At 38.0% G+C, this 13,446-nt stretch overlaps 1 protein-coding gene across 18 annotated transcripts in view; it reads right to left on the bottom strand.

Moving 5' to 3' along the window:
• The window catches only part of SPEF2 (sperm flagellar 2), a 196,749-nt gene that overhangs the window by 55,643 nt on the left and 127,660 nt on the right, over nucleotides 1-13,446 (bottom strand). For all 18 annotated transcript variants that reach the window (XR_925655.3, XM_011514136.4, NM_024867.4 and 15 more), the window contains one exon: nucleotides 5,208-5,345. Coding sequence is in view for 17 of the 18 variants with exons in the window: in XM_011514136.4 (XP_011512438.1) it covers nucleotides 5,208-5,345 (138 nt within the window). In the remaining variant the exon portion in view is untranslated. The remainder of the gene's footprint in view (nucleotides 1-5,207; nucleotides 5,346-13,446) is intronic.

Genomic DNA, 13,446 nt, shown 5'->3' with positions numbered 1-13,446 from the left:
AGTGGTGTGATCTCAGCTCATTGCAACCTCCACCTCCTAGGTTCAAGCGATTTTCCTGCCTCAGCCTCCTGAGTAGCCGGGTTTACAGGGCCCTGACCCCATGCCCTCCTAATATTTATATATTTAGTAGAGATAGGGTTTTGCCATGTTGGCCAGGCTGGTTTCGAACTCCTGACCTCAGGAGATCTGTCCACCTCGGCCTCCCAAAGTGCTGGGATTACAGGCATGAGCCACTGCGCCCAGCAACACAGAGTTTAAAGAATAGTTCTCTTTCCACAATTTCCTTTCTTGTTCAATATGTGGAGAAGAGAGAGAATTCAGCTCCTCTAGTGCTCACGGCTAAACCCTTCTGCTTGCTTTGCCAGTAAGTACCTTGTGAAAAATGTAGCAACCCAGAAGAGCTGGTGGCAAGATGAGCATCGGTCATTCCCTTGTTGTGACTCCCTGTCAGCACAGGTCATTTCCTTTTGTGGTATGCATACGCTGAAGTGTGTGCATAGTGAGATTTCACACAGTGCCAACAACACAAATGTAGAATATGATATTTTTCGACCTGGTCTCCCATTCGGTTTAGGACAATATGGTGTATATCTGTGCTTCTCTATGTTAGTGTAAACATGACCTCCAGACTTTGCTTTAGTCACCTGGGCTACTTAAATCAATACCTGAGGGCCTAAATATTGAAGCTCCTGATACAGATGAATTCCATGGTATCTAGTTAATTACAGAAAGCATCTTTGTAAAAAGAAAAACAAAATTGACCTAATGTTCAAAGCCTTATCTACACCAAACTCAAAGATATTTATGAAGGGATCCCTACATTTATCAAACAATTATGTCACCACTTATTTTGTAAAATATCAAGAAATATTCTCTTACTGCCATATTCACAGTTCAGAACAAATAAATGTCTGGTTTTTTGTTGCAGTCTACAACAAAAGACAAGAACAGTTTCAATAAGTCTGTATTTGATATAGAAAAGGTTAAGCCAAATTGCTCCTGGAAAAAGCTGTTTTCTGTGCTATTCGACTTTTCTAACTAAATGACTGAAACAGGAAAAAATTAATTTGGTGAACTTGAATCTAAGTTAAAAAATAAAAGTACCATTTATGTATTGTCTCACATTATAGAACATTTTTAATAGTCTCCTTGGATTTTAAACACAAATATATATTTAAGTAGTTTTTAAACTAGCATTTTGAAATGACAAGAAAAACTAAACCTTTTTCTCTTTCCTTGCAAAACAACCAAATTAAGTTTTAAAATATTCATGTATGAACAAATCCTACAGTTTGACAATAAGTGTTTGCACCTGTCATGCTTAGGTTTGGTAAAACAGAGGAGAAAAATGAGTCTTGTAAATTATACTTATAAGAACTTGCAGAATGACACATTTATGGTGAATAGGATCAAATAGAAACCCAATTTGTACAAACTGAATATTGACAACTTTGGAGAATTAAAATAAGTGTGTTGAGGTTATAAAAATTATTAGTCATTAAACCATAGCATTGTATTATTTGGTAAATAAATTTAGAAATCAGGAAATTATTTCCTCCTTAACTTAGAGAACTAAACTACTTAATAATGATTAGGTTTAGTAGAGCTTCTTTTATACAATTGGTTTTTGGGACAGTGCTGTTATCTGTGCCTTAGGCTTACCTCATTATAGTGATTATCTTATATAAAATACTAATTTATTTTTAGAAGGCATAATTTAATTAACTAAATCTGAATAAGATGCCATACTATATCCAAGATTTTCATAAAGGCAGAATCAATCAAAATTCATGTTACATTTATGATAACTAGTAAACAATATTTTTATGATATTATAACTAGTAAACGATATTTTTAATTGTTATGATAACTAGTAAACAATATTTTTAATAGTTATTAAAAACAATATTTTTAATAGTAAACAAGATTTTTAATTGAGACAGAATCTTAGATTTAAAAAGAATTTTAGAAAATCATCTAGCATAGCATTTTCTAAAATACATTTTGTAGAAAACTTGTCCTATAGGCAGTTAATGAGTACCTTGTTGGGGAAGAAACAAAAACTTCTCAAGGTCAAATAGTGTGGAAATAGAAATAGAAATAGAAATAGAAAAAGGATTTCCTTCCTGCAGGGCATCTCGATGTCTAAATATGTCGATACACTTGTCAATCTCCCAGGGAGAGGGAAGAAGGCTAGAGTAGATAGCACTTCCCAAAGTCATTTGATCACAGAGTCCTTGTTTTGTGAAACATCTTGTAGGACTAATGTCTACGGAACCCGCTTTGGGAAACATTTATCTAGCTGTCTGTTGTTACCCAACACCACAGATTCTTGATGGCTTTTTCTAGTGTGCTTTCCACCGGTCCTCCAAAACCATGTGCGAACTTTTGCTTTTGAGCATCCTGGACAAAAAGCTCATTGCCTCCAAAGTCTGTTACTTGATGGGCTGTTCATTAGGCTCTTTCTTTAAATATTGAACCGAAACCTCCTCTTTTGTAATTTTCACCCCTGGTTTTTATAGGATCCTGTTGATCAGTGCAAAATAAGGCTCCCTTCAGTTCTATGTGGCAAACTTTCAACTATTTGAACAATAAATCAGTGGTTAGGAATACAGTAGACACTCCCTTATCCATGGGGGATGAGTTTCAAGACCCCCAATGGATGCGTGAAACCTCAGATAGTTCCAAACCTTATATACACTATGATTTTTCGTCTGATAACGAAATTGGCTACTAAGTGACTAACAGATGGGCAGGTAGCATCTACAGGGTGGATACACTGGACAGAGGGATGATTCACATTCTGAGCGAGACAGAATGAAACAGTGTGAGATTTCATCACACTACTCAAAATAGAGCACAATTTAAAACTTATGAATTATTTATTTATGGAAATTTCCATGTAATATTTTCGGACTGTGGGTAACAAACTATGGAAAATAAACCTGAGGAGAAGGGGGAGCTACTGTACTGGCTTTGAGGTCAGATGGGCAAATTGTTTCACCTGTGTTTGTCTCAATTTCCTCATTTGTGAAATGAAGATAACAGAACTTACAGTAGGCTGGGTGTGGTGGCTCACTCCTGTAATCCCAGCACTTTGGGAGGCCGAGGCGGATGGATCACCTGAGGTCAGGAGCTCGAGAGCAGCCTGGCCAACATGGTGAAACCGTGTCTCTACTAAAAATACAAAAATTAGCCAGGCGTGGTGGTGGGCGCCTGTAATCCCAGCTACTTGGGAGGCTGAGGCAGGAGAATTGCTTGAATCTGGGAGGCAGAGGTTGCAGTGAGGTGAGATCGCACCATTGCACTCCAACCTGGGTGCAAGAGTGAAAACTTGTTGTGAAGTTTTAATATATTCTACATGAAAATCTTTAGAATGCTGCCTGGCATGTACATAGTAAGAACTTAGTAAATGTTAGATTTTATTTACTGCTTTTTCCTCTTTATTCCTTGTTGGTCTTAGATATTGGTTCAGTTTCTCAAGATAAAAGTCCTCTATCTAGGGATTGTTGGAATATTGAGTACTATACCATTTCCAAAGGAGGTATGTATTGCTCTGAATGAAGAATGATTCATAAAAATTATCTGTTCCCTATGCCTTCATTATTGGTTTTCAGCTATTTCTGCCATAAGCTTTTGACACGACTGTTTATAATACTTGATTTTTGCTTGCCCAAACCAATGTCGTGGGGATGCTATCAAGACTGGTCTAGGCTGCTTAGGCATCTCACTTTAATCTTTGCATACAACCCATGCCATGTGGATCTGTCCTCCTGGTCATGGCCCGGCTTTGTCCTCTGCTTTGGATGACATCTTTCTAACTCCATCTTCTCTTTACAATCCAGATTCCTAACATGGCTGCATGGGGTCTTCACTGTCCTGGTATCCTGATTTCTTGAAACCTCCTACCTGAGTGGCTGCTCCTGCCTCTCAGATTTCTGCTGATATTTCAGACCTTCTGTGGTCTGGCCTATGCCTGAGCCATGAATTGTCCCTTTGAAGGCTGGAAGTACCAGCATGTATTGGTCCTTTGATGAAAAGACATTTACTGAACACCTATTATGCATTAGCTGTAGGGATTGCCAGATAAGTACTCTCATTTCCTGTAGTATCTCTTTATCTAAGTTAATCAATTAAGGATCAGAAATGTACCCTTTTCCATTCTCTATCTTCATTCCTGTTATTTTAGCTTGACTTAGCTTTAGACAGGCTGCTTCCTGACTCTAGGGCCCACCTCCCTTTTGTTAGGGCATTTGCTTTAAGAAAACGACATTGTAAATCCTTTCACTGTTCCTTTGAGATGTAAATCTTTTCAAAAGCCTCCTACCAGTTGTACAACCCAGGAAAGAATGTCTTTCTCAAGGACCTAAAAACCATCTCTTTGTAATATAATTAATCATCAAGGAAGACAGGGACTCTATCTCCCAGTTCTTGTGTGAGACTAGGAGCCTAATTTCACTAGGTGCATTGCTTCAAGTCCTAAAACTACCTCCTGTGATGAAGTTCGTAGAAAGTTGACTTTTCCTTCTGGTAATGTCAATTGGCAAACACAGTTGGCTTATGACCCATACCCTCTAACCTACTTCAGCTCTTAAAAACTCTCTAGCCCTTTGTCTTGGCGGAGCTGGGTTTGTGCTTTCTCCCCTATTGCTGACAATAGTGTCGAATAAAATCAGCACCTGTCTTCTAATCTTGCCCTGTGCAATTTTTTTAAATTTAATAGGCTGCAAATATAAGTTAATCGGGTTGCATTGATTATGGTCTGTTTTTCTAGTCCAGTATTGGAAAACTTTTTATTTTCAGGAATCAAATGTCTGCCTGGTCTGATCTTGCCTATGCTTGTTGTGGCCAGGCTGCTTTCCTGGGCTTTCTTTGTCCACTTAAGGGGTCTGCTTTGAGAGTCTGGTGAGATAACTCAGTTGTAAACACTATTTCTACTGTGGCTTTCTACATATCTAGGCCACCTGGGAGCAAAGCTGGTGGGTAGTTGCTTGGGATGCTTCCAATTTGGGTGCATATTTGGGCTGGGTCAAAATGTATTATTTCGGCTAGCTTTTTTGGTGAGTTGGAGCTCATACCAGGCATAGTGCTATACCAAAATGAGCCCTGAACAGACCTCTCATATTCCCAAGAAAGTGTCATATGAAGGACTGAGGAATGAGGCTGTGAAGGGAAGTGCCTGGGTTATTGTGACCAGCTGCTCTTACCTGCATCAGGGAAAAGAAATGGTTCATTGTCATTCCAAGAGTGTCCTGTAACCAGCTCTCATTAATGATGTCAAGCCGCTCCTGCTCCGCCTCTTCCTTCCGGGCATCACAAATGTCCCACAGGCGGTCTCGCAGATCCTGAACAGAAAAAACAGGCATGGTGGCTATGCTTTAGATTGCTGCTCAAATCACCTAGGTGCAATAAAACTAAAATCCTTTGCCTCTCTTAAAAATGTCTCTAAAGAAATTTTACACCAATTGCACTCCTGTATTGTATGTGCTCATTCAACCAATATTCATCTTGAGTCTCTTCTGTCAGTCCCTTACGTTTGAAGAGGACCTCACCACATCATATGTCTATGTCTACCAAAAACCCACTACATTTTACTTTATTCATGAATGGCTATGTTTTATGTGCTTTAATCCTTCCTAAAAAAAAATGTGTTTGGTTGAAAAAGCCCTTTCAGTGAATTTTGGGGGGGAAATGGCAATTGGTGGTGGAAAAAAATATGCAGCTGTATTAATTAACATAATTAATTAATATAAACTTGTTAATTAATACTACAGGTGGAACATATTGTTCACCAAAAAATGTTGTCTGAGTTTAATGGGGTGATCTAAAAGTAAGCTTTGTATTAAAGAGATAGCAGTAAAGAGATTGCCCTTGCCAGATACTGGGCAATAATCAAGATGATAAATATAAACATAATAATTTATAACATACTATTTATATATAAATACATAATAAACAGTATCAATGCATTTAGAGTATGATGATTTATAGTATAGTAGAGTATGAGTAATATATAATACATTATATATATTTAATAATTTACATATAAATATAATAAAAATAGTTATCACATAGAGTCCTTTCAGTGTGTATCTATGTGTCGGAACATAAGTCACTATACTTGTATTGGCTCATTTAATGCCTCACAACATCCTTAAGCTAGGTAGTATTATTACCTTCATTTTACAATTGAGGAAACTGAGTCACAGAGAAGTTACTTTCTAAGGTCACAGAAAGATTAAGTGGTGGAGCCAGAATACGAACTGGTGGTCTTGAATAATATATACTACTATATTAGGCTTCAGTCCCATTAATGAAACATATACAGTCAAATAAAAATCGACAGCTTTTGCAATAATAATAATTCACTGAGGCCAGGCACAGTGGCTCATGCTTATAATCCCAACACTTTGAGAGGCTGAGGCAGGAGGATCATTTGAGGCCAGGAGTTCAAGACCAGCCTGGTCAACATGGCAAAACCCCCATTTCTATAAAAAATTAAAAAATAAAAACTTAGCCATTCATGGTGGCACATGTCTGTAGTCCCAGCTACTCAGGAGGCTAAGATGGGAGGATTGCTTGAGCCCAAGGGTTCAAGGCTGCAATGAGCCATGACTTCACCACTGCACCTCAGCCTGAGTGACAGAGACCCTGTCTCAATAAAAATTAATAATAATAATTCACTAAACATTTATTATGTGTTGAGCATCATGTTAAGTGCATTACATCAGGGGTCCCCAACCCTTGGGCCGCGAGGTGGTACCCATCCATGGCTTGTTAGGAACTGGGCCACACAGCAGGAGGTGAGCGGTGGGCAAGTGAGCATTACTCCCCGATCTCCACCTCCTATCAGATCCGCAGCAACATTAGATTCTCATAGAAGCCTGAACCCTATTGTGAACTACAAATGTGAGAGATGTAGGCTGCGTACTTCTTATGAGAATCTAATGCCTCATGATCTGAGTGGAACAGTTTTATCTCTAAACCATCCCCCTCACCAATATCTGTGGAAAAATTGTCTTCCACGAAACTGGTCCCTGGTGCCAAAAAGGTTGGGGACCACTGCATTACATTGATTATCTCCTAACCCCCACAGCCCCACAGTAAGTAGGCTTCCGACAAGACCATTGAAACACAGACAGGTTAAGTTTCTTGCCTATAATTTCAATGTGGTAGAGCCAGAAATTAATTTGAACCCAAGCAGTTTAATGCCTACAGTGAATTTTATTTCTGTGACATTGTGTTTATGGAATACTTTGTTTTTGAATTCTTACCTTTGCATTTTGGTTTGTTACCTTGAGGAGCCTGCACATGAAATGAAAATATCACAAGCCATTTTTATTGCCATATGCTAAGTATCAGAACAATATATCATTATTTTAGAGCTGATCTTGATATCTTCATGGTGTTTCCATAAATGCTCTGTCAGGTATTCAATAAGTACTAACTTGTGCTTATCAAATATTTATATATTTTTAATTAATTAATTAATTACCTTATTTTTCCATAAGTTATTGGGGTACGGGTGGTATTTGGGTACATAAGTAAGTTCTTCAGTGGTGATATGTGAGATTTTGCTGTACTCATCACATGAGCAGTATACACTGCACCATATTTGGAGTCTTTTATCCTTCACCCCCCTCCCACTCTTCCCCCCAAGTCCCCAAAGTCCATTGTATCATTCTTATGCCTTTGAGTCCTCATAGCTTAGCTCTCACAAATCAGTGAGAACATAATGTTTGGTTTTCCATTCCTGAGTTACTTTACTTAGAATAATAGTCTCCAGTCTCATCCAGGTCACTGCAAATACTGTTAATTCATTCCTTTTTATGGCTGAGTAGCATTCCATCATATATATATATATATATATATGTGTGTGTGTGTGTGTGTATATATATATACATATATATACGTATATATATATACATATGTGTATATATATACGTATATATATACGTATATATATATATACATATATATATATAGCACAGTTTCTTTATCCACTCACTGACTGATGGGTATTTGGGTTGGTTCCACGATTTTGCAACTGTGAATTGTGCTGCTATAAACAATGTGTGCAAGTATCTTTTTTAAATAATGACTTCTTTTCCTCTGGGTAGATACCCAATAATAGGATTGCTGGATCAAATGGTAGCTCTACTTTTAGTTCTTAAAGGAATCTCCACACTGTTTTCCATAGTGTCTGTACTAGTTTACATTACCATCAGCAGCATAGAAGTGTTCCCTGATCACTGCATCCTCACCGACATCTACTGGTTTTTGGTTTTTTTCATTATGGCCATTCTTGCAGGAGTAAGGTGGTATCACATTGTGGTTTTGATTTGCATTTCCCTGATCATTAGTGATGTTGAGCATTTTTTCATATGTTTGTTGCCCATTTGTATATCTTCTTTTGAGAACTGGCTATTTATATCCATAGCTCACTTTTTGATGGGATTCTTTTTTTCTTACTGATTTGAGTTCATTGTAGATTCTGGATATTAGTCTTTTGTCAGATGTATAGATTGTGAAAATTTTCTCCCATTCTGTGGGTTGTCTTTTTACTCTGCTGACTGTCCATGTGCCGTGCAAAAGTTGTTTGGTTTAATTAGGTCCCAGTGATTTATCTTTGTTTTTATTGCATTTGCTTTTGGGTTTTTGGTCATGAAATCCTTGCCTGAGCCAATGTCCAGAAGGGTTCTTCCAAAGTTATCTTGTAGAATTTTTAGTTTCAGGTCTTATGTTTAAGACCTTAATCCATCTTGAGTTGATTTTTGTATAAGGTGAGAGATGAGGACCCAGTTTCATTCCTCTACAAGTGGCTAGCCAATTATCCCAGCACCATTTGTTGAACAGGGTGTCCTTTCCCCAACTTATGTTATTGTTTGCTTTGTCAAAGATCAGTTGGCTGTAGGTATTTGGGTTTATTTCTGGGTTCTCTATTCTGTTCCATTGGTCTATGTGCCTATTTTTATACCAGTATCATGCTGTTTTGGTTACTATGGCCTTATAGTATAGTTTGAAATCAGGTAGTGTGATGCTTCCAGATTTGTTCTTTTTGCTTAGTCTTGCTTTGGCAATGTAGTTTCTTTTGCGGTTCCATATGAATTTTAGAATTGTTTTTTATAATTCTCTGAAGACTGTTGGTGGTATTTTGATGGGGATTGCATTGAATTTGTAGATTGCTTTGGGCAGTATGATCATTTTCACAATATTGATTCTACTCATCCGTGAGCATGGGATGTGTTTTCATCTGTTTATGTCATTTATGATTTTTTTCAGCAGTGTTTTGTAGTTTTCCTTGTAGAGGTCTTTTGACTCCTTGGTTAGGTATATTCCTAAGTATTTCATTTTTTTTGCAGCTATGGTAAAAGGGGTTGAGTTCTTGATTTGATTCTCTGCTTGGTCGATGTTGGTGTATAGAAGAACTACTGATTTGTGTACATTAATCTTGTATCCGGAAACTTTGCTGAATTTTTTAATCAGTTCTAGGAGCTTTCTGGAGGAGTCTTTAGGGTTTTCAAGGTAAACGATCATATCGTCAGCAAACAGGAACAGTTTGACTTCCTCTTTACTGACTTCAGTGCCTTTTCTTTCTTTCTCTAGTCTGATTGCTCTGGCTAGGACCTCCAGTACTATGTTGAAGAGGAGTGGTGAGAGTGGGCATACTTGTCTTGTTCCAGTTTTCAGAGGGAATGCTTTCAACTTTTCCCCATTCAGTATTATGGTAGCTGTGGGTTTGTCATAGATGGCTTTTATTACATTGAGATATGTCCCTTGTATGCCAATTTTTGCTGAGAGTTTTAATCATAAAGCCATGCTGGATTTTGTCAAATGCTTTTTCTGCATCTATTGATGCATCTTTTTCTGCATCTATTGATCACATATTTTTGTTTTTAATTCTGTTTATGTGGTGTATCACATTTATTGACTTGTGTATGTTAAACCATCCCTGCATCCCTGGTATAAAACCCACTTGATCATGGTGGATTATCTTTTTGATATGTTGTTGGATTTGGTTAGCTACTATTTTGTTAAGGATTTTAGCATCTGTGTTTATCAAGGATATCGGTCTGTAATTTTCTTTTTTGGTTATGTCCTTTGCTGGTTTTGGTATTAGGGTAATGCTGGCTTTGGTATTAGGTTATGTCCTTTGCTGGTTTTGGTAATGCTTTCTCTACATTGTGGAATAGTATCAAAAGGATTGGTATCAATTCTTCTTTGAATGTCTGGTAGAATTTTACTGTGAATCCACCTGGTCCTGGACTTTTTTGTGTTGGTAATTTTTAAATTACCATTTCAATCTCACTGCTTGTTATTGGTCAGTTCAGGGTATCTAATTCTTCTTGATTTAAGCTAGGAAGGTTGTATTTTTCCAGGAATATATCCAACTCTTCTAGGTTTTCAGGTTTATGTGTGTAAAGGTGTTCATAGTAGCCTTGAATGATCTTTTGTATTTCAGTGATGTCAGTTGTAATATCTCCTGTTTTGTTTCTTAGTGAGGTTATTTGGATTTTCTCTCTTCTTTTCTTGGTTAATCTTGCGAATGGTCTATCAATTTTATTTTCAAAGAACCAGCTTTTTGATTCATTTGTCTTTTGTATTTTTTTTGTTCCAATTTCATTTAGTTCTGCTCCGATCTTGCTTTTTTCCTTTCTTCTGCTGGGTTTGGGTTTGGTTTGTTCTTGTTTTTCTAGTTCCTTGAGGTGTGACCTTAGAATGTCAGTTTGTGCTCTTTTGATCTTTTTGATGTAGGCATTTAGGGCTATGAACTTTCCTCTTAGCACTGCCTTTGCTGTATCCGAGGTTTTGGTAGGTTGTGTCACTGTCATTCAGTTCGAATAATTTTTTAATTTCCATCTTGATTTCGTTTTTGATCCAATGCTTATTCAGGAGCAGGTTATTTAATTTCTATGTATTTGCATAGTTTTGAAGATTCCTTTTGGAGTTGATTTCCAGTTTTATTCCACTGTAGTCTAAGAGAGTGCTTGATATAATTTCAATTTTCTTAAATTTATTGAGGCTTGTTTTATAGCCTATCATATGGTCTATCTTGGAGAAAGTTCTATGTGCTGTTGAATAGAATGTGTATTCTGCAGTTGCTGGGTGATGTGTTTTGTATATATTTGTTAAGTCCATTTGTTCCAAGCAATAGTTTAAATCCATTGTTTCCTTGTTGACTTTCTATCTTGATGACCTGTCTAATGCTGTCAGTAGAATATTGTTGTCCCCCACTATTATTGTGTTGCTGTGTATCTCATTTCTTAGGTCTGTTAGTGATTGTTTTATAAATTTGGGAGCTCCAGTGTTAGGTGCATATATGTTTAGGATTGTGATATTTTCCTGTTGCACAAGGCCTTTTACCGTTATATAATGTCCCTCTTTGTCTCTTTTAACTGGTGTTGCTTTAAAGTTGGTTTTGTCTGATATAAGAATAGCTACCCTGCTCACTTTTTGTGTCCATTTGCATGAAATGCCTTTTTCCACCCCTTTAAGTTTATGTGAGTCCTTATGTGTTAGGTGAGTCTCCTGACAGCAGCAGATAGTTGGTTGGTGAGTTCTTATCCATTCTGCAGTTCTGTATCTTTTAAGTGGAGCCTTTAGGCCATTTACATTCAATGTTAGTATTGAAATGTGAGGTACCATTGCATTCATCATGCTCTTTGTTGCCTGTGTACTTTTGGTTTTTTTTGTTTGTTTTGGCTTTTTTAACTTGTATTTTTGTTTAATAGGTCCTGTGTGATTTATGCATTAAAGAGGTTCTGTTTTGATGTGTTTCCAGGATTTGTTTCAAGATTTAGAGCTCCTTTTTCTTGTAGTGGTGGCTTGGTAATGGCAAATTCTCTCAGCATTTGTTTGTTTGAAAAAGACTATGTCTTTCCTTCATATACGATGCTTAGTTTTGCTTGATAGAAAATTCTTGGCTGATAATTGTTTCGTTTGAGGAGGCTGAAGATAGGGCCCTAATCCCTTCTAGCTTTTAGGGTTTCTGCTGAGAAATCAGCTGTTAATTTGATAGGTTTTCCTTTATAAGTTACCTGGTGCTTCTGTCTCACAGCTCTGAAAATTCTTTCCTTTGTCTTAACTTTGGATAACCTGATGGCAATGTGCCTAGGTGATGTTTTTTTGTGATAAATTTCCCAGGTGTTCTTTGTACTTCTTGTGTTTGAATGTTTAGGTCTCTAGCGAGGCTGGGGAAGTTTTCCTCAATTATTCCTCTAAATATGTTTTCCAAGCTTTTATAATTCTCTTCTTCCTCAGGAACACCAATTATTGTTCGGTTTGGTCATTTAACATAATCCCAGACTTCTTGGAGGCTTTGCTCATATTTTCTTTTTCTTTTTTCATTGTCTTTGTTGGATTGGGTTAATTTGAGGACCTTGTCTTTCAGCTCTGAATTTCTTGCTTCTACCTGTTCAATTCTATTGCTGAGACTTTCCAGAACATTTCAGGTTTCTAAAAGTGTCTACAAAGTTTCCTGAATTTTTGTTTGTTTTTTCTTTTAGCTATCTATTTCCTTGAATATTTCTCCCTTCACTCCTTGTATCATTTTTTGGATTTCCTTGCATTGGGCTTTGCCTTTCTCTGGTGCCTCCCTGATTAGCTTAATAACTAACCTCCTGAATTCTTTTTCAGATAAATCAGGGATTTCTTGGTTTGGATCCATTGCTGGTGAACTAGTGTGATTTTTTCACGGTGTTAAAGAGCCTTGTTTTGTCATATTACCAGGGCTGATTTTTTGGTTCCTTCTCATTTGGGTAGGCTCTGCAAAGGGAAGGTCTAGGGCTGAAAGCTCTTGTTCAGATTCTTTTGTCCCACAGGGTGTTCCCTTGATGTAATACTCTCCTGCTTTTCCTATGGATGTGGCTTCCTGTGAGCCAAACTGCAGTGATTGTTGTCTGTCTTCTGGGTTTAGCCACCCAGTAAGTCTACCCTGCTCCGGGTTGGTACTGGGGGTTGTCTGCACAGAGTCCTGTGATGTGAATTGTCTATGGGTCTCCCAGCCATGGATACCAGTGCCTGTTCTGGTGGAGGTGGTGAGGGAGTGCAATGGACTCCATGACAGTTCTTAGCCTTGATGGTTTAATGGTCTATTTTTGTGCTGGTTGGCATCCTGCCAGGAGGTGGTGCTTTCCAGAGAGCATCAGCTGTAGTAGCGTGGAGAGGGACCAGCGGTGGGCTGGGCCCTAGAACTCCCAAGATTATATGCCCTTTGTCTTCCACTACCAGGGTGGGTAGGAAAGGACCATCAGGTGTGGCAGAGCTAAGCATGTCTGAGCTCAGATTCTCCTTGGGTGGGTTTTGCTGCAGCTGCTGTCGGGGTTGGGGGTGAGATTCCCAGGTCACTGGAGTTATGCACCTAGGAGGATTGTGGCTGCCTCTGCTGAGTCATGTAGGTGCTGAGGCAGGGAAGTGGGGGAAAGCTGGCAGTCACAGCCTCACGCA

Source organism: Homo sapiens, chromosome 5 (assembly GCF_000001405.40).
Source record: "Homo sapiens chromosome 5, GRCh38.p14 Primary Assembly".
Classification (NCBI taxonomy): domain Eukaryota; kingdom Metazoa; phylum Chordata; class Mammalia; order Primates; family Hominidae; genus Homo; species Homo sapiens.
The sequence above is the reverse complement of the archived record's forward strand: the minus strand, read 5'-3'. Positions and strand labels throughout refer to the sequence as shown.